The sequence below is a fragment of the Homo sapiens genome, chromosome 4 (genome assembly GCF_000001405.40).
Source record: "Homo sapiens chromosome 4, GRCh38.p14 Primary Assembly".
Taxonomy (NCBI): domain Eukaryota; kingdom Metazoa; phylum Chordata; class Mammalia; order Primates; family Hominidae; genus Homo; species Homo sapiens.
The window spans coordinates 78,853,432-78,875,130 of NC_000004.12; the positions used below are offsets into that span (position 1 = coordinate 78,853,432).

General features: G+C 35.4%; 1 protein-coding gene across 7 annotated transcripts in view, besides 1 other annotated feature; it reads left to right on the forward strand.

Annotated features, from left to right (window-relative positions):
* Positions 1-21,699, forward strand: part of BMP2K (BMP2 inducible kinase) — a 140,016-nt gene that overhangs the window by 77,082 nt on the left and 41,235 nt on the right. For all 7 annotated transcript variants that reach the window (XM_047415932.1, NM_198892.2, NM_001419799.1 and 4 more), the window contains 6 exons: positions 6,153-6,256; positions 7,958-8,037; positions 12,126-12,289; positions 17,352-17,629; positions 18,419-18,517; positions 19,183-19,367. In XM_047415932.1, coding sequence (XP_047271888.1) covers positions 6,153-6,256; positions 7,958-8,037; positions 12,126-12,289; positions 17,352-17,629; positions 18,419-18,517; positions 19,183-19,367 — 910 coding nt within the window. The remainder of the gene's footprint in view (positions 1-6,152; positions 6,257-7,957; positions 8,038-12,125; positions 12,290-17,351; positions 17,630-18,418; positions 18,518-19,182; positions 19,368-21,699) is intronic.
* Positions 9,024-9,318: an enhancer, noted in NCBI's record as "tiled region #10702; HepG2 Activating DNase matched - State 6:EnhF". NCBI's record gives its function as "activates a minimal TATA promoter and a strong SV40 promoter by Sharpr-MPRA in HepG2 cells {active_cell/tissue: HepG2}" and the evidence as "EXISTENCE:reporter gene assay evidence [ECO:0000049][PMID:27701403]".

The following is a 21,699-nucleotide window of genomic DNA, read 5'->3' on the forward strand; positions in this document are numbered from 1 at the left end:
ACAAGTAATGGGGCCGACATGGGGGATGAGGAAAGAAGTACTTTCCAGATCCAGGAGTTGAAAAGAACTTAGAGAACCATTTAGAGGAGAATGAGAAACATAACTAACGGGATTACTGAATAGTTATGAAGAATGTACTGAAAGCTGGCTGCCTCAGTTGTCTTTTGGCTCCTGTGTTGTAAGGTGATTAAAGAAGTACATTGCAGAGATTAAGAGCAAGACTTCTAGAGCCAAACAGCCTTGGATTGCATCTGCTCTGTCCCTGTTTGGTATGGAACATTGAGCACCTCCATTTATCTCAGTCTTCCCATTTCTAAAAGGGGCATTTAAAAAGTACCCACCTCTTACGGTTATTGTGAGAATTAAATGAAAGCTGAAAAGTGCTTTTTAGTAAGAGATAGCCTTTAATACTATAGTCATTATTACTATAAAAACTAGTACTACAACTACTCTTGATATCAATATTACAATTCTTCATCTAACTTAATTTCTGATTTTCTGGATAGGGGCAGGACATGCTGTCAGACACTTACTAGAGCATACTTTCCCTGCAGAAATGTCTTTGGATGCTTTGAAGTGGAATTTGGTTTTATGGGTTAATGGTGGATCTACCAAAGGCTTACCATAAATTATCATATATTCCAGAATATACTGTTAAATATAACTACTAAGATTATTTTTCTTACCTCCTTATTTTGTGCAGTAAGGTAATGATGAACACCAGGTAAAAGCTTTTTTTTTTTTTTTTTTAAACTTTAGGGTCTTCTCACTTATTGCTTTATGGTTTCTTTATCTTTGCTCTTAAGAGCTCATCTATTGGGGCTAAATTTATTATTATTATTATTATTTATTTATTTTTTAAGACCATGTCTCACTCTGTTGTCCAGGTTGGAGAGCAATGGTGTGATCTTGGCTCACTACAACCTCTGCCTCCCAGTTTCAAGAGATTCTCCTGCCACAGCCTCCTGAGTAGCTGGGACTACAGGCCTATGCCACCATGCCTGGCTAATTTTTGTATTTTTAGTAGAGATGGGGTTTCACCATGTTGGTCAGGCTGGTCTTGAACTTCTGACCTCAGTGATCTGCCTGCCTCGGCCTCCCAAAGTGCTGGGACTATAGGCATGAGGCACTGCGCCCGGCCATGTATTTATTGACAGGATCTAGCTATGTTGCCCAGGCTGGTCTCAACCTTCTGGGCTCAGCTGATCCTCCTGAGTAACTGGTACTACACGTGTGAGCCACTGTGACTGGTTCGATTAGGGTTAAATTTATTTCAATACCCATATTGTGGGAAACCAGGAATTTGCTTGCTTGTTTTTACTACATTTAAATTTGTTATGGAAATTTAATAATCTCTACAAATACAGACAGAGCAGTGCAATAAATTTTCATGTACCTCATGAAAATACCTCACCCAACCTCACTGGTTATCAACTCATGGCCAATCTTGTTTCCTCTATAACCTCACCCACTCTCTTCTCCTATATTATTTTTGAAAAAAAAAATAGCTACTTAAAAGTACCTTTGAAATGAAAGATGAAGATACGGTTTCCTTGGAGCTTTTCAATCACTGGCTCTGGGTTTCTACTTGTAGAGAGAGGGCTCTGATCAGTAACTTTTCGGGGTAGTTACCAGGTCTATTCCAAATATATTATCCTGGCATTATTTAGTGCCACTTAATGTTTTAGTTATGATTGAACATATTATCAGCTATTAAATTTAGTTTCATTTCAGCACCCATATACTAAGATATGTAGGACATATAGAGTAACATGTAAGTTTCTATAACAATGTCTGTAGGTTAACAGATAGAAATAATGTTGATGCATGAAATATTTATGGTTGGAAAATTGGAGTGGATGTTTCTCATTTCAGGGAAATTAAGGGCAATAACTTGAAGTTTGTGGGAGAGAAAAATGTGTCTTTATGGAGGGAAAACCAAACAAATTTTAAGCAGGAAAATTGTTTTGAGACTTCTATCCAGAGTATTTTCTTTTTAAATTTGTTGAGCTGTTAGATTAGAGATGGTGGCTTAACTTTATCTAGGCCCAGGCATGGATCCTTCGTTTTGTGTAACTTGAATGGTAACTACTTTAATTTTTGGCTTAGGTCCTTGACTAAACCATGGTATAACTTGGCTGCTGCAACAGGCAGCTCCTTTAGCTTCTATTTTTGTTGGAATGTGCAGGGATTTTGTGCTTTTCTATGCAATATTGGTATAGGCATAATTAAATCAGTTGCCTCAGACCAGTGTGTACATCAATAAGAAATATTGTTGTAGTTTTAGTCTTATACTACCTTCAGTGCTGAAGCTCTATTTTGTGTTCTTAGGTTGTGTTAGTAGTATTTGTGTCAATAGAAAGATTTACACTATTGAGTGAGCAGAGAAATATTATTTCTTCGTGGCTAAGTTTTAAAAAGTTGATTTTATATTTATAGTAGAATCAGATTCAGTGGTAATGGTCTTGTGATGATTCAGGTGATCATTTTAAGTTGAGTAAACAAGGGCGTATTCTAGTTTCTCTGCCTTTTTTGTTTTGTTTTTAAACCTGATCACGTAATACTACTTTTAGGTGAACTGGACACATACATTCCTTAATCCATTTCTTTTCCCCAAAAGCGTATTTTGTTAATAGATGATATGGTTTTATTGTCATGAAGTAGCAATTAATAAAACACTGAACTCGAGGTTTAATTATTTGCAGGAGAAAATGGCTTTAGAAAAACTATAAAAATTGAAGGGTCAAATTCTTTCTTTCTTTCTTTTTTTAAAGAGACAGGGTCTTTCTGTTGCCTATGCTGGATTGCAATGGTGAGATCATAGCTCACTGCAGTCTTGAACTCCTAAGCCCAAGCCATCCTCTCACCCCAGCCTCCTAAGTAGCTGGGATTACAGGCAAGAGTCACCATGCCTGGCTGAAATGTCCTTGAATCAGTGTTTAGCTGTATTAAATGTGATACCTCTGCGCACTCTAGATTACATCCTTCAGTAATCCAGTGGTACATTTTGCAACCCATTCTCTTGAAGAGTTCAGTAAATTATATTATTTAACTTAAGTGCTTAAAGATGCCTTATTGATTTTTTTTCCTTTTTTTTAAATTGCTGATAATATTCAATTTAGAAATATTCAGAGATAAAAATGTAGCCAAGTTCTACCTGTGGGTTTTAGGTATGATTATTCATCTTTTCATACTTTGAATTTAGAACCAAGTCAGAGATGGTCCACTGGAGCTCATCAGATAAAACTGTCAACTTTTTAGTACTGGTAAAGCAGATTGCAGAATGAAATTTAGATCTAAAGCCGAAGGAGCCTGTTCCTCTGTTCCCAACCCTCAAATTTATTAACATCCAGTCATAGTCAATGCTGGAAAACCTTAGACTTCTTCCACAGAGACAGGTTACTTACAAAATGTGGTTTAGCAGAGAACATGTATGTTCTTAAAATAACCTGTTCTGAAAGAAAGATCATCAGAGATTGATGGGTGGAGGTGCTTCATTCTTTTTTCTAGTCTAACAATTTGACAAATCACTGTCTTTCCCACTGGGGAGAATGAGTTATAGTAGTAGATAGCGATCGTGGCACTACACTAGCACAGTGGCTTCAAACTTTTTGTGACTGTGATTCAATATATTAATAAAAAATACATTTTAGTTATGACCTGGTATACACTCCACACACAGAATACACACATGTAAACTGAATCACATTTCATGAAATATTGCTTACATTTACCATATTAATGTACTGTAATATTTTCTGTTCTTCTTTATTAAAATAAATAGTAGTTCTGACCTTTTGAGTTGATTTTATGTCACATAAATGGAATCAGTACAGTTAGACTAAACTGGCTCCAGCAGATATATTCCCACATGAAAACATGACCCAGGGGAATTGGAGGTCCTTGTGTTTGCTTATAAGATAATATCAGTTCTACCTGCAACCTAGCTACCTAATCATTAGAGGATATGCTGTGCTTAACCTGAGATACAGAAATACCTATACCCATATAGGTTAGGACACAAAATCTCAAATTTATTTTTTTCTCTCTCAGTGCTTTTCAATTGCTATGAAAGAAAACAAAACAAAGAAAAACAAGGAATGCCTGAACTATCATTTAATTCCTCTCTGAATACTTAAAAAGTTTTTCTTGGATTAAACCAGGCCGCAAAAGAAGTACATTCTTAAACCATACCCCTTTCTTTTACTGCATGGCATTTAGGCCACTAGTCCATACTGATAGCGTGTTTAAAACATGACCCTGTGTCACTCACTGCTATTCCTTAAGGATGTTGTTCACTTTGTGTGAGCTATCTTTAGAAAGACTCAACGGAGAATTTGCTCTCTAGCTTTCAGTATCACGAATAGTGTTTTTCCTTAGCACCTGATTTGTTTTTGTATTAGATACACTGTGATTCATGTAATGGATCATGTTGCCCTGTTTATATTGACAGCTAAAAAATGGAGAGCAAATTTTGGGCCTGCATTTAAGACCAAATCATATGTAGTTTGTAACTGACCTCATTATCCTGTCCATCTCAACCCCCAAGCCACTATTTTTCCATTAGTTTTAATTTTCTTATATATTTAAAAAAAATCTTAGTTTTGTGTGCCACTTCAAGTTCTTTATAGGACTAAATATGTATAATTAGCTATTGTTGAAATTAGATTTTAAAAGCCAAATAAATTTGTTAGAATAGAAAAATAGGACTATACGTTTGTGAATTAGGTAGGTTTCGTGTGATTTGTTTGGTTTTTAAAATTATATGAATAAGTAGTTATTGTTAACAGTATGTTTAAATTTATCCCCATTTTGTGTACTGTTGTTACGTTAAAAACATTTAATATCTGTTGGTATCAAGATAAAATAAATTTTGTAGATTCCTCAAATCTTTTTTGGATTGAGTTTGAATATAAACTAGCAAATATTAGAATTAAAATGTTTTTAGTTATTTCAGTCTAGCAATGGTGGTAAAAATTATAAAAAACATCCATTTTATAAGTGATATATGTTAGCATTATAAATATATAAAATCAAGTTACATGCAGAGTTTTCGTATATTTTACACTGAGCTCAGAATCTCTCAAATAAATTATAACTTTCCACATAACTGTGTTTTTAGCCAAAATAAGTTTATCATGTCATTGAAGATGTATCACACATTCTGTATTCAAAATATTACTTAAATTTGAAGGGAAGATTTAATTCATTTTGATTTATAATTTTATTTAACCCATTTACATACTTAGATCTCTCTATACATTATTTTATTAGCAAACTTAAGAATATCTAATTCTTTAAATTTTACATTTTAAGTAGTTTAAAAAGGATTTAAACATTATAACAACTTAGAGTTAATGAAGCAGAGGTAGACTTTGAGATGTCTTAACAAAATCTTTTACTTACGGAATTGAGTATAAATGTCAACCTTGTGAAATTTAGAATTAAAAATTATCCAAGAAGTGGAGTACTACCAAATGGTAGTGGTCATTTTGGTAGAAAAAAGATCAGGCATTTCAAGCAATGCTGTAAGGTTGTTTTGAAATCTGTTCATAAAAACCAGAAAACTCTGCCCATATTTCTGAGCATGATATGGATAACATGTTAAGATACAGAACTATGGTGAATGTTGTTAGCATCAATATGGGAAGAGAGTATGTTTTTGGAAAACGACAGTGCCAATCCATTACTACTTTGTTAGATTATAACATATACAATTTAGGCTTTTCTTAATGATTAAGGATCACTTAAAAATTAATACAGGTATTTTGGATAATAGTAATAATTATTTTGAATAGAATTATCTTGAAGGACCTTTTTACTATGGCCTTGGAACTTTCTTGAATAATTCCCCAGTGTTCACTAAACTCACTTTTTCTTTTGTGTCACTTTTTCAATAGAATAATCAAGTTTGTCATTCATACTTCTAGTGTAGAGCTGTTCTGTGATTGATCTACCCTTAGCTTGGGATAATGCTTTATTTATAAAATAGCAATTTCTGCATTTTCTGTAGGCATTAATAAAGTTTGCTAGAATCATCACTGATCTTAGAGTGGAACAGAAAATACATATTTTTTATCCTTATAATGTGCCCCTAAGTAGTATAATGTGTGTTTCATAAAACTTCTTAACATTTTGATCTATTCTTGCAGGGTTCATGCTTGAACCAGATCCGGAACATAGACCTGATATATTTCAAGTGTCATATTTTGCATTTAAATTTGCCAAAAAGGATTGTCCAGTCTCCAACATCAATGTAAGTAGATTTTCAAGTAGGATATGAATTTAAAATTCATTTTATCGTATGTGAATATATTTACTTTCAGAGTTACTTTTTTTTTGTTGCTGTTGCTAAAACTCAGAGTTTCTTGTTTCATGACAAGTGATCTGATTGTGTGTTTGATATTTGTGGTATAAAGCTTCAGTACCCAAACTATGCACTGAGATACCTTGGGGAGCTGCAGCAGACTCAGGCAGAATATTTTGCATTTTTGAGGAAAACACAGGGACATCTTTCTGACTTAGCACAAAACTAATTTTATTAAGTTATTTGGGCCTAACAGTTTAATAAACAGGACTGTTAGTTTTTTTTTTTTTTTCTTAGAAGTGTTGTAAACAATTACTGAGACACGGAGCACTGTTAACTGAGTAAGTTTGGGAAACTTTGGTATAAAGAGCACAGGCCTTGTTAAGTGGGAACTAAACAATGTGTACGCATAGATATAGACAGTGGAGTAATAGACATTGGAAGTCAGAAAGGTGGGAAGCGGATGAAGGATGAGAAGTTACCTAATGGGTACAATATACACTATTTGGGTGATGGTCATACTAAAAGCCCAGACTTCACCATTATGCAGTATATCCTTATAACAAAGCTGCACTTGTATCCCCTAAAACTACAAAAAAGTTTTTTTTTAAAAAGCACAGGCAATGTAAATAGACCCAGATTCAGTTTTGTCCTTATCAGTGACTGACTTTGAATCTTTTGGTAAGTTACTTTAATGTCCATTTCTTTTTCTGTAAAACAAGGATAGTAATTATAAGGATTACATGTGAAACCCAGTGCCTAGTCCATGGAAGGTGCTCAGTTGGCAATAGTTAGTATTATTCAAAAGCTTTCAATTTTATTCACTGACTGTACAGTGCATTTAACTACTTTAGGTGAATGGTGTATGGCAAGTCTCTGCCAATCTTAATAAAGGTTCTGCAATCATCACTGATTATAAGCCATTCTTGACTTTGTAAAGATCATTCTGGCCTGACCTGTTTCTGTAGGGTTTCCTTTATGTGTAACTTAATCTACCCCACTAAGAAAAAAGAAGGAATGTGGTACCTTTCCTTTTTTTTTTTTTTTTTTTTTTTGTGAAGCCCTCGCCATATTGATGTACTCTTTTCTCTGTTGAAGCTGAAAGCTTTGCAGTTCTAAAAGTAGATAAGTAGACTCATTCGACATTTACTCAGCAAGTATTTATTGAGTACCTACAAAGAACTAAACATTGGGTATAGACAAATAAACAAGGCCTTCTGCCCTCATTTTCCAGGCCTTACATTCTGTGTCTTGAAAATTATCTGTAGTATGTAGAAACAACACTTAATTCTTATCCTTGGTGTTTGTTGCTTTTTCCAAAATGTAAAATAGTTATTGATTTACGAGTGTAATATAATCTTTCTTTTTACTCAAGATTTACCCAATTATAAATGGATACAGTGGTGTTCTTCTGCTTATTTTCCAAGGTTTCTGTGGCACATGAATATGAAATTGACATTTGTGTAACATGTAGTGATATTTGCAGATTAGATCTGGCAAATACATGTGAATAATTTATAGGTATCTGATGTGAAAGTAATAGTGTCTCATAGTACTTTTAAAGTTCAATGATATATCCATAGCTTACAAAAACTTTCTGCAATTAAAATAAAAAACTAAAATGAGACGTTTTATTTTTTTTCTTCCAAGAATTCTTCTATTCCTTCAGCTCTTCCTGAACCGATGACTGCTAGTGAAGCAGCTGCTAGGAAAAGCCAAATAAAAGCCAGGTAGGCAAAACTATGCTGAAATTGAAAAGGCATTAAAAAAAATGATAGGTCTTGTTTTTAATCCTAGCAAGTGTAATTGATTAAATATCATCTTCATCCACAAAGAATGTTGTGTTGCTTATTGTATGTGGTATAATTGAGATAGCAAATACAAAATAAGCTTTTAAAAATATTAGATAAGGAGTCTGGCATCATCTCACTGGAACTGTTCACTCTATGACAAGTGATTATTTAACTGATGATGTGACAGCGGGTCTTTTTTTTGGACAGGATTTGTCATTTTCATCACATAGCAACTCTAGTTTAGGAAATACTATGTTTTGAGTTTATAGATGTTTATTTTTTTAATTTAAGGAAAGAAAAAAATAGCTCCTACAGGTAACTAGAATATATAGAATATGTATGTACTTTGTAGAATTTGTAATGAGTGATTATAATACTTTTTAAGGCTGGTATATGTTTTCAATCTTATTTTTCAGAGTATTTATTATATTAATAATAAGTTTGAACTATATTATGTAAGTTAAGACTGAATCTGTTAATGATTGATTTTTCCCCCCCTCACACTTTTTTGAATTTAAAAGTTAATAAGCAGGATTATATCTTAGATTATCAGACAGGTATAATACTACATTTGGGGAGATTTCTTGGTCACAGCAATTTTGTATTGTATGCTATTTATGCAAAGTTTATTTGTTTACACAATACAAAAATATATTTGTTCATATGCTTTTTATATGCAAGATGTAGACAATTTAAACACAAAGAAAAAAAAAGCAGTTTTTATTTCCAAGGAGTTCACGTTCTAATTGACAAGTAAACGATTACAACCTGATAGATATTAGGCTACTTTGAGAGTGTGGAGGAGGGGAAAGACTGGGAACAGAGAAAACAGGAGCACATAAAGGATGCTTTCCCTGCGGATGGGAGTTGCTGCACTCTTCCTTGAATGATGAATAGTCAATCACTTGGAAGGGTGTGGAGTGAAATTATAGCAGGCAGGCAGTTTAGGCAAGAATGACTATTGTGAAACTACAGGACTAGGACAAAAGGGGACATATACAGGAGTAGTGGGAAATGAAGCTGGAGAGGTAGATAAATGCCAATCATGAACAACTTTGTTTATATATCATGCTGAGAAATTTGGACTTTGGCCTATAGGTCAGTTAATTTTCAACCTTCTAGTCAGTTCTACTCTTTGAGACTTGGTTGTGACTGTGTTGTAAATGATCTGTTACTTATACATTGTTAAAATTTCATTTGCGAATGACTTATTTTAAAAAATGGTGTTACTTTAAAAATATCTTCATTCACTTGAATTTCAAAATGTTCTTTTGAGAAGAGGTGAAGGTGTAAAGTTATATCTAACTTGCAGGAATCCAGGTTGAACAGCAATTGGTCTTATCTATGACATAGCTTTAATTAGCATCCACTGTTATAGTTGAGTGTTAATTATGAATTATTGTAGGATTTGTCAGTTGAATTTTATTGTGACTTCTGTTTTTTAAAATAATTAGTAAATAATTAAATCTTTGAGAAAGTAGGTGCAGATTTTTAAAAAAAGCGTAAGTCAGCTGAACAAGAATGATGATTTGATTATTTTTTCACCCTAATGCAAGTTATAGCTTTAGAGTTACAAGACAATGAAATAGTGCTATTAAAATTCACAGTGCTTATTTATAGTATGTTAAATCTGAACATTATGTATATTAAAAAATAAGGTTGATTGGTACTTATTGGTTACTAATATAAATTTACTCTTTATGAATATTAGTGAAAACTTGAAAAAATCTAAATGTATACAAAGCTTAATATTAAAAAATTTAGTTTTTTCCATGTAAAGAGCACATTTTGGGAGGAGAAATCATTTACTAGCAGTTTCATTACCCACGTTTTCAAAAAGCGCCTGTGGGTTTCTCAGCTGCCTTCAATCTGTGGTATTCTTTGCCTTCTTAAAAGGTCGCTCTCATCTCCCCAAACTTTGCATCTGCTCTTAGTATGGTTTAAGATGTGAAATTTATCTGACACATGTCTTAAAGATTGAGACACTGAGAATCACTGGCCTGGCAGATGGAAACATTGAAGGATTTTAAGCAGGAGAGTGTGAGTCTGAGTTCTAGGAAACCTGTGATGATTTTGTTCAGGTGATGGCAAGGAGAAAAGAAGGGAAGCAGAAAAACAGCTCTGTGACTGTTGTAATAGTGAAAATGAGACTGTACAGCAGTATCGATGCAATAATTACTGTTTTTAACTTCAGTCGATTTTGTATCTTCCCTATGCCTAATCTGCCCAGGCATTTTCTTCCCATTCCTTCACATAGAATGCCTGGTTTCTTTGTCACTGCCTAATAAAGTCAAACTTATTATGAAAATTTTAAACCCCAGTTTCTACCTGAAGCCTTCTGTAGCCAAATTAGGTTAAAAGTACAATTACATCTCCATAAATTCTTGACAGCACTAGCTTGGCACTGATGATTTTTACTATCTTATATTTATTACATTTCCACTAACATATGCCCTGTCTTCCTAGGTATGCTGTAAATTCTTTGAAGACAGGGTGTTATGCAGTGTTTTGCTGGATATCAGTAAATGTACAATACATATTACTGTATTGATAAAACAGAGACATCAGAGTGAACAAAGTATACAGACTTTTAATATGCTTCTTAGGGCTTTTGCTATGCCTACGTGTGTTGTGAATCTGTAAAGAGGGTTTAGACCAGCAACAAGGCAACATCAGGTCTGGCCTGTACTAGCCGTTTAATACAGAATGGATAGTTAAAGAGAGAGATTGTGTACAATATTTCCCCCAAATTACTTGAGCTTAGGGAGTATAGCATTGATTGTAATGCCACATCAATAATTTAATGTCAGTAAATACTTGATTATCATTAAAACAAGATATAATTGATTACATATATATATACACCGATATATATATCGGTGTATATATATATGTAATATCTGTATATATTTGGCCTATTAGTTAAATTTTCATGTCTTTTACCATCCCCATCCCATCTAGAGCTTAAGTGTTACTTTCAGAAAACGGCATACATATAATTCTAAGATCTTTTGATTCAGTGTCACGTTTTTTTTTTTGGTACCTCTTGGAAAGATAGTTGTTAATAGGGCTCCCTCTTGTGGTACACACAGATATTGGGAAATAACTGGATCTGTGCACTTGTTGATAGATGCAAATGCAGCAGATGTGTGCTTCATAAATCATATGTATGTAAAAATTTTAAGTATTCACTTGAAAATGTGTAAGGGGATTTAATAAAGATATTTTATTGTGAATCCTGTTGGAAAGTGAACATTTGGTCCTATTAACAAGTATTTGAGTTTTTGTACTTAATTTATAGAAAGCAAGTTGATAAATATATAAATATTTTACCTTTTTTGTTTTTTAAAAAAAGCAAATGTTGGTGTCTTCTCAAATTATATTTATTGTTTCTTGATTTCAAAACTGTGTTTACTGCTTAACCACTCACATCTGGGGCCTAAACTAAGTCCTAGTGGGATAAATTTTATATACTTTCCATTCTGTGTTCTAAGTAAAGCAAAGTTAAAGATTCAAGAAGTTGAATGTGAGCAGGTGGCATCTGTTAAAAGTTTTGGCTTATTTTGTTTAACGTGCCCTAGGCCACAGTCTTTTCTTTTTTTATGCCTTGGAGTCCAAGTAAAGGGAGATTATTCCTTGTTGTTTCTTATTTTTATTTCCCTGACAAGTTCAGAGAGTGGCTGTCAGTTTTGTCCAAAAGCTTATGAAAAGGTTTCTGTTTATTTCCTTTCAGTATCATTTCATCTCCTTAAGAGCAGTTTCTGGGACTATATTCTTTTTCTGCTGGTTTCAGTAGGAGATTATGAATGGTTGTGTACTGTTTTAAGGAAAATTGTTAGTTTTATTTATTTTTCTGTGTTTAGTAAACGTTTAATACTTGAAAATGAGCCTTAGGAGAAAGATGAGGACTAATGCGATTATCAGTAATAGTTAAAATGTATCTGTTGAGTTGGATGCTTTATAGAATAAATAGTAAATTAGAAATAATCCCAGTATTTAGAATGAAATATATTCTTCTGTTGTAGAATAACAGATACCATTGGACCAACAGAAACCTCAATTGCACCAAGACAAAGACCAAAGGCCAACTCTGCTACTACTGCCACTCCCAGTGTGCTGACCATTCAAAGTTCAGCAACACCTGTTAAAGTCCTTGCTCCTGGTGAATTCGGTAACCATAGACCAAAAGGTAATAGAGCCCCGCCAACCTCATCCTCTTAAAGGTTAATGTTAATAAACCTTTCATGATTTGATTTCCTGACCTCAGGTGATCCTTAATATTGTAAAGTAGATAACATAATGCTTTCAGAAACTTTCTATTGATGTCTAATAAATTCAGTTGGTTTCTCAACAATTCAATTGTTGTAGGCAAAGGGAAGTTACTGGCAATATAAAAGTATGGTACAAAAAACTCACAATTTGCTTTGATACTATAAATACAAACTCTTATCCCTAGAGTCATCAACTAATAGGGTTTGAGGTTGGGAATAAAGTTCAACGGTATGGAAAAAGTCTATGTTATATGAGAAAGAAAGTTGAAACACTAGTCTTACAAAGTTTATGTCTTTGTATTGCACCTAGAGCCTTGGTGAAGGGCTATCTTGAACCATCCATATGGACATTACAACATAAAAACTTACCTGATTTTGAGAAAAATTTACTCATCTAAAGTATCTCCTAAGCATTATGGTACAGTGTGGTACTTAAAAAAAATTTTTCCCCCCAAAGAAATGTCCGTAACATTTGAGTAAACTTATTTTTCTCAAGGATCTGGGAGTATAACCTGAAGACTCACCTTAAAGAAATCCTGTTTTGCACTTTATTTCATGATAAATCTGTCGTGTTTTAATGTTAAAATGTTTTTAATGAGGATACCCTAATGGTTAAGAGTGTACGTTTTGAGTCTCACGAACCTGATTTGAGTCCTATTTCTCCCATTTTTTAGTAATATAGCTTCTAAAAGTACTAGTACCTATCTTAATAGGATTATTGGGAGGATTAAATGGCTGTTTAATGTGCTACCTGATACACGGTATGCCTTTGATAAATGTTAACTATTAACTACTGTTGTTACTATCAAGTAAAGTATATGTTCAGGAAAGGTGATGTTTTTATTTTTTATTTATTTATTTTTTTGAGATGAAGTCTCACTCTTGTCCCCCAGGCTGGAGTGCAATAGCACGATCTCGGCTCACTGCAACCTCCGCCTCCTGGGTTCAAGCCATTCTCCTGCCTCAGCCTTCCAAGTAGCTGGGATTACAGGGGCCTGCCACCACACCCAGCTAATTTTTGTACTTTTAGTGGAGATGGGGTTTCACCGTGTTGGCAGGCTGGTCTCGAACTCAAAGGGAAGTAGGCTTTGCTCTGTATTGGATACTGTCAAGAAGAGGGCATATGAAGCTGGGTGCAGTGGCTCATGCTTGTAATCCCAGCACTTTGGGGGGCCAAGGCAGGTCGAATTGCTTGAGGCCAGGAGTTCAAGACCAGCCTGAGCAATGGCATGGTGGTACACACCTGTAGTCCCAGCTACTGGGGAGGCTGAGGGGCAGAGGATCCCTTGGACCCAGTAGATGGAGATTGCAGTGAGCCAAGATCTCACTGCTGCACACCAGCCTGGGTGACAGAATGAGACTCTGTCTCAAAAAAAAAAAAGAAAAAAAGAAAAAAAAGCAAGAGGTGTTATGATATGTTTAGGTTTCTTAATATAAATTTTGTCTAGAAAGAAGGAAGCTAAAGCCTCAGTAGCTAAAGATGTTGAGGCATTTTTGGGGTTTGGACAATGTTCATGGTTTTGTCGCTGTTCAGACATGATTTTGGAGTGGTCTTATTTTGATCCATCAAAGTCATAGTGTCCTTGTCTAATGTTGTATGAGATTATTCAACAGGAGAGCACCAAGACTTAGCTGTGATTGCCAGGCCTAATCCTGATGTCAGGGGCCGTGTTTCTCTTTCTTACATGCTTTCAGCTTAAGTTGGAAAAATGTTCCGCTTTTTCCCCCAATAAGTGCATTTTTTTTTAACATTTCTTCACCCTTTAAAAATAATACAAAAATTAACACGTGAGTATTGTATTTTAAAATATTCGGATTATACAGTAGTATTCAGTGAAAATGTAAATGTCTCCCTCCATTTTCTTCCCAGAGTTAACCAGCGCTGTTTAATGGTCATCTTCCCAGTCCTTTTTTATGTTTTTACATGTGTATATACAGATATAAATAATTCATGTTGTATTTAAAATAAATGGAGGCCGGGCATGGTGGCTCACTGCCTGTAATCCCAACACTTTGAGAGGCCGAGTTGGGTGGATCACTTGAGGCCAGGAGTTCGAGACCAGCCTGGCCAACATGGCAAAACCCCATCTCTACTAAAAGTACAAAAATTAGCTGGGTGTAGTGGCATATGCCTGTAATCCCAGCTACTTGGGAGGCTGAGGCACAAGAGTCACTTGAACCCAGGAGGTGGAGGTTGCAGTAAGCCAAGATCATGCCACTGCACTCCAGGCTGGGCAACAGAGCAAGACTCTGTCTCAAAAATAGTAAGTAAATAAAATAAAATAAATGGAGTCATACTATACATACGTATTAGTTCGTTTTCATGCTGCTGATAAAGACATTCCAGAAACTGGGGGAAAAAAAGAGGTTTAATTGGACTTGCATTTCCACACGGCTGGGGAGGCCTCAGAATCATGGCGGGTGGTGAAAGGCACTTCTTACATGGCGGCAACAAGAGAAAATGAGGAGGAAGCAAAAGCAGAAACCCCTGATAAACCCGTCAGATCTCATGAGACTTATTCACTATCACAAGAAAGACGCCCCCGTGATTCAGTTACCTCCCCCTGGGTCCGTCCTACAACATGGGAATTCTGTGAGATACAATTCAAGTTGTGATTTGGGTGGGGACAAAGTCAAACCATATCATTCTACCCCTGACCCCTCCAAATCTCATGTCCTCACATTTCAAAACCAATCATGCCTTCCCAACAGTCCTCCAAAGTCATAACTCATTTCAGCATTAACCCAAAAGTCCACAGTCCAAGGTCTCCTCTGAGACAGGGCAAGTCCCTTCCACCTATGAGTCTGTAAAATCAAAAGCAAGCTAGTTACTTCATAGATACAATGGGGATAAGGTATTGGGTAGATACAGCCGTTCCAAATGGGAGAAATTGGCCAAAACAAAGGGGTTACAGCGCCCATACAAGTCTGAAATCCAGTGGGGTGGTCCAATTTAAAAGCTCCAAAATGATCTCCTGTGACTCCAGGTCTCACATCCAGGTCATGCTGATGCAAAAGGTGGGTTCCCATGGTCTTGGGCAGCTCCTCCCCTGTGGCTTTGCAGAGTACAGTGTCTCTCCCGGCGGCTTTCATGGGCTGGCCGTTGAGTATCAGCAGCTTTTTCAGGCGCATGTTGCAAGCTGTAGGTGGATCTACTATTCTGGGGTCTGGAGGATGGTGGCCCTCTTCTCACAGCTCCACTAGGCAGTGCCCCAGTAGAGACTCTTTGTGGGGACTTTGACCCCACATTTCCCTTCTGCACTGCCCTAGCAGAGGTTCCCCATAAGGGCCCTGCCCCTGCAGCAAACTTTTGCTTGCATATCCAGGCATTTCCATGTATCTTCCAAAATCTAGGCCAAGGTTCCCAAACCTCAGTTCTTGACTTCTGTGCACCCACAGGCTCAACACCAAATGGAAGCTGCTAAGGGTTGGGGCTTCCACTCTCTGAAGCCACAGCCTGAGCTCTACGTTGGCCCCTTTGTGATTTTTTTTTTTAACCTATAAGTTACTTAGGGGGCTGTTGTTATTAAATTTTCAAGGAGATAAAATATACTAAAGGCTGGAAGGATAGAGGGAAGTGAGGGGTAGGGAGAGATTTACTGAAGGATATAAAATTTTAGCTAGATAGGAAGAATAAATCCTAGCATTCTATACCACTGTAGAATGACTAGTTAACAATATTTTGTATAATTTCAAATAGGTAGAAAGAGGATATTGAGTGTTCCCAACACACACAAAAAAATGACAATGCTTGCAGTGACCGTTTTGCTAATTATCCTGATCTGATCACTATGCAAAATATGTATCAAAACATCAATATGTACTCCATGAATATGTACAATTATTATTTGCCAATTAAAAAATAAAAATTTTCAAGGTGAATGATTTTTGAGTAGTTATTTTAGTACTCTTTCAACTGGAAAGAAATACACTTAAAGGCTAATGATGGTTGTATCTGTGTGGTGGAATTGTGATTTTCATTTTTTAACTTACATTTTTATAAGTATTTTCAAGGATAATTAAAATGAACATGCATTTCCTTATAATTAGAAAAGTTAGAAATAGTTATAAAACTATTTTCATAAAGCTGTTGTACTTAGGTCTGAGGACGTTTGAGGATACTAACATTGATGAAAAAAGAACCCTTCTCTCCCTCCTTGCATTCTCTCCCCACTCTTTTTATCTTCTAGGATTGAACAGTTGCATTTGAATGTAGGGTAAGTTTATTAGAGGAGAATATAGAAATTATGGTATATTAGTATATTGCATTAAGTGTATATCTTACTTTTTAGTTAATTTTTAAAGTTTATTCATAGGATTTGCCTAGGGTATAATTTATGGAGCTTATAAATAAATATCCATTTAGGAGACAGTGTTAATAGATCCATTACAGTGAGCATTTATTAATCATCTTTTGTATAAAAGGTTTTTTGGGACTCTTAACAGATGAGTAAGTCATCATCTCTTCCCTCAGGGTCCCTGGTTAGGAAATAGCCATGTAAGTCATTAACATGTGCAAGACAGACTGAAATGTAATAAACTGAGTGGAAGTGCTAGATGAAGGAATAAGGAAGAGAGGTTTGAGCTAAACTTTAAAGAATAAGAATTTCACTAGGTGGAAAGTGGCATTCTAGACAGAGAATTATATTGGTACTAATACATACTCATGATAGTACATGATATTGTTGAGCAGTGTAGAACAAACTAACATGGATGTTGTGTTCATGGAGAGCCGAAGTATGAAACATGAAGTGTTTCTAAGATGTTGACTTGTTCAGAGTTGTAGACGACAAAATTAAGCTTCTTCGGTACTTACAATTAAAGTAAATCCCTATAAACTCTATGCATATGGAAGTTTTTGTGTTATAAATAAGGATATAAATGCCTTAGTTAAATTATTATTGAAATGAGCATGTTGAAATCCAGCTTTTTAATTGAAATCATTAGTATGTTAATGTAAGTGTTTGGACCTGTCTTTAGGGGCACTAAGACCTGGAAATGGCCCTGAAATTTTATTGGGTCAGGGACCTCCTCAGCAGCCGCCACAGCAGCATAGAGTACTCCAGCAACTACAGCAGGGAGATTGGAGATTACAGCAACTCCATTTACAGCATCGTCATCCTCACCAGCAGCAGCAGCAGCAGCAGCAGCAACAGCAACAGCAGCAGCAGCAACAGCAACAGCAGCAGCAGCAGCAGCAGCAGCAGCACCACCACCACCACCACCACCACCTACTTCAAGATGCTTATATGCAGCAGGTAATTTTTTTGTTTCTTTAGATATGGAAGTAGTGTGAAATTGATGCAGCAAATTGAATATCAGTGAATTCCTTTTTGTATCATGGGCACCTTGAACTCTAGATTTGAGTAAACACTTTCCCCAATTTTCTAATTATGAAAGAATACGTATTTAATTTGCAATCAGTGAAATACTTAAGAATACTGTAAAATAGGTTGCATTGTGGCCTTATGAAGAAAAGAATGTTCATCTGAAACATTTAGTATTCACAAATAAGCACTGCAGTTTATAATGAATATTATCTGAGGTTACGTTTTGAGTTCACAGACTAATAATGCTATTGTTGGAAAGGTGATATTAGGCTTTTCAGAAGTAACATTGTCTTAGATTTTTGTCACCCTCCTGGTTTTGGTTGATAGATCCAGAGTGGAGGGTAGTAAGTAGGTGGTACCATGGGATGCCCAGAAGACACCACTGAAGGGGAGATTTAGTGTAATGGGGCTTGGTTAGAAGTCACTCAGGTGTCTTTATCTTCTAGGAAAAGGTAGTAAATGTGTTTTGGTAGCTTTCTTCTAAACATCCTTAAATTGTGCTAAAAATGGTTTTAATTGAATCTAATTGTTGATAATTTTGAAACCAGTTCTGATAAGCATATTTATTAATAAATTATAGTAATTTAGAGTATAGCTATTTTGTATTGATGTTTGGACTACTGATTTCTCAAATCATTATGGTAAGATCAATACTTTAAAAAAGGGCTCTGACACAAAAAAGGCATAACATTTATTAATTTGATTTTCTCGTTGTAGTATCAACATGCAACACAGCAGCAACAGATGCTTCAACAACAATTTTTAATGCATTCGGTATATCAACCACAACCTTCTGCATCACAGTATCCTACAATGGTAACTTAAATAATTTCTAGAGATTTCTCTGAGTATACATTATGGTGTTGGAATTCACAGTATGAATCATATTATTCAGAATTTAGTAATTCAAAATCAAGTAAGTTAATTGACATGTATTTTATCAAAGCCAGTCATATATTCTCAAGCAGCTTTAAATTGCACTGAACTATGGCACCTGAATATGGCACATAGTAATTGACCGATAACGTACTTCTCTTATGTCATTATATAAGGGAAATGATGTCTTACCTATAGTCTTTCGTCACATGTCTCTTTCATTCAGCACATATCTATTGAGTAAAAAAATGAAACCCAAAGGGAGAGTATATTTTCTTCAGAGAATAATTTGACCTTTTTTTTTTTTTTTTTTTTTTTTTTAACAGCAACCACTATATTAGTGACTTTAAGCTACTCTTTTTCTTAAAATACTTAAAAGAGGATTTTTGATTCTGGCCAAGTGAGCCTACCTTTACAACTTTTTAAAAAGATTTATTTCATCTTGCTGTAGTTTTCTAGTAATAGAGCTGCTTCTGTAGATGATTGTTTTTTACGTTTCTGATTTTGTCACCAATGTGAAAGGAAGGAACATAGTAAATAGATGCAGTGCTGACAGTGCTTTAGGACTGGAGCATTGTTTTGTATAATATCATTTCTTTTTTCAGATGCCGCAGTATCAGCAGGCTTTCTTTCAACAGCAGATGCTAGCTCAACATCAGCCGTCTCAACAACAGGCATCACCTGAATATCTTACCTCCCCTCAAGAGTTCTCACCAGCCTTAGTTTCCTACACTTCATCACTTCCAGCTCAGGTTGGAACCATAATGGACTCCTCCTATAGTGCCAATAGGCAAGTATTTTTCCAGTGAAAGCAAAGGAAATTATTGTGGAAGTGGAAGTCATCGTTGAATGGTCGGTCATTAAGTTCTCTTAAATTAGTTTAGAATTTATCTTTCTGTAGAGCCACCCATTCTCTCTTCCTAGTCCTGTCTTCTGGTCCCTTGGCATCCCCATCCTTCCGTTTCCTCAGTTAATTCTGCTAACTGCTATTTGTAGGTAAGGTGTAGCAACATCTAACAGCATTTAGGGCTAAGGATATTATTGGCTTGTATGTAAAGGCATTTTTGGTAATGTAAGTATAAACAACACCCTAACAAGTGACTTCAGCAGTTAAAAAAAAATCCTTGTAGACTTTCTCTATTTACATGTTATTACCTTTGATTAATTTTACTGTTTACTCATAAAGGTTGTATAATTTAATTTAAATAGGTATAAACATTTTTACATATATGTATTTTAAGATGATATATAGTATACATACTGTTACCGTAACATAGTTGGTAATAGTATATTTTGGCTATTGAGACATATTGGTTAGTAGCGTTATAAATTAAATAACTTTGGTACAAAATTTCTTAAACTTATACAAAATGGCACGTGCTTTAGCATCTTGTAACTAAGAATCATCATCAATGCCTCCTAATGTTTTTAGATACCTAGGAGGTAGGAGCTGTTAGACTTCTGTTACATGAACACTGAAGTTCTCATACAATGCTGTTTAAGGATTTGAAACATTAGCTGAGAAAAGGTGTCTATAAGCTTTGGCTCAGAGTTGAGCAGGAGAAACAGCAGCATCAGTAGCATACTTGTACACTGCATCTCAAAAGAGAGCTAAAGTATGCAGTTTGCTATAGAATGCCTCCCAACCTCTGTGTGTGTGTGTGTGTGTGTGTGTGTGTGTGTGTGTGTGTGTGTGTATGCATGCATGCATGTGTGTGCACATGTGCAAGAGACAGATGGTGGGGCGGGTATGGTAGAGAGGGAGACAGAAACGAATGGATTTCTTGAACTACTTTTCTAAAGTAAGAATTGGGGTGGATGAATTAGGACAATTTTGTCTAAGGAGAGAGCAGAGTATAGGTCAAAGGCCAGTTTAAAGGTCCAGATCAGGCAGGGTGCGGTGGCTCATGCCTGTAATCCAAGCACTTTGGGTGACCAGGGCAGGCGGATCACGAGGTCAGGAGATCAAGACCATCCTAGCCAACATGGTGAAACCTCATCTCTACTAAAAATATAAAAATTATCTAGGTGTGGTGGTGCGCGCCTGTAATCCCAGCTACTTGGGAGGCTGAGGCAGGAGAATGGCTTGAACTTGGGAGGCAGAGATTGCAGCGAGCTGAGATCATGCCACTGCACTCCAGCCTGGCAACAGAGCGAGACTCCATCTCACACACACACACACACACACACACAAAAAGTTCAGATCAGTATTTGCCGAACTCTTTGTCATTTATCTACTCTAGTTAAAATTTTTTGCTTTATTCACATAGTGCTTTTTTCTTTAATAAATTAGTAACATTATTGTGTATAATAAAATTAAAACATATTATACATTTTAAACAAATAAGATCCACTAAAATATAAAGTATGAAATGTAAATAGTAATCTAATAAATTTGCTAAGTCCCCTAGTGATAAGAATGGAATAATTTTCCTCATTAAAAATCAGATATTCTGCTTGATAATTGCTTAAAGATACTGATGAGGCTATTGTACTAATTAGATGATTGCTTTTTTCCACTTTTGATGCTAACTAGCATAAAAAATGTCAAATCTAGTTTATTTAGTTGGAAAATAGAAAAGATATTAACTGTCTTCTCTGACGTAGCATATATATTGTGTATACTTCATATTCTAAAAGTCTGTCAGCTCCTGGAAGCAAAGTTATGTCACTGTTGAGAATGGGATGATGAATTGGAAATCTGTCTAAACTTCTGATTAGTTAAAAAGAAAGTTGGATATCCAAGGATTTGAGGCATACACTGGCATGCAAGGTGCTGATGCCTGTAATGTATATTAATTACTATAGCACTGTCTGCTTTATTCTCATTTGTAGTGATGCTATTCGACAAATCACAGGTTTGATACATTAGACACTTTTCTTTTAATTTCTGTGTAACTATTAAAAAATAAGTTATCACAAAAATCATCTTGCATTCCCCAGGTTAGGAAATATTGGGTTGCATATCTGGGAAAGTGCATAAGACTTGTTTTACTCCACTCCTATGAAATTTATGTATTTAAGGATGTGTTAGAAAAAATTATACACTCAGCCACTAAAGGTTAGAAATGTGGAACTTCATGTGGGAACATTGCTCCAGCCACACTTGGTACGTCAATGCT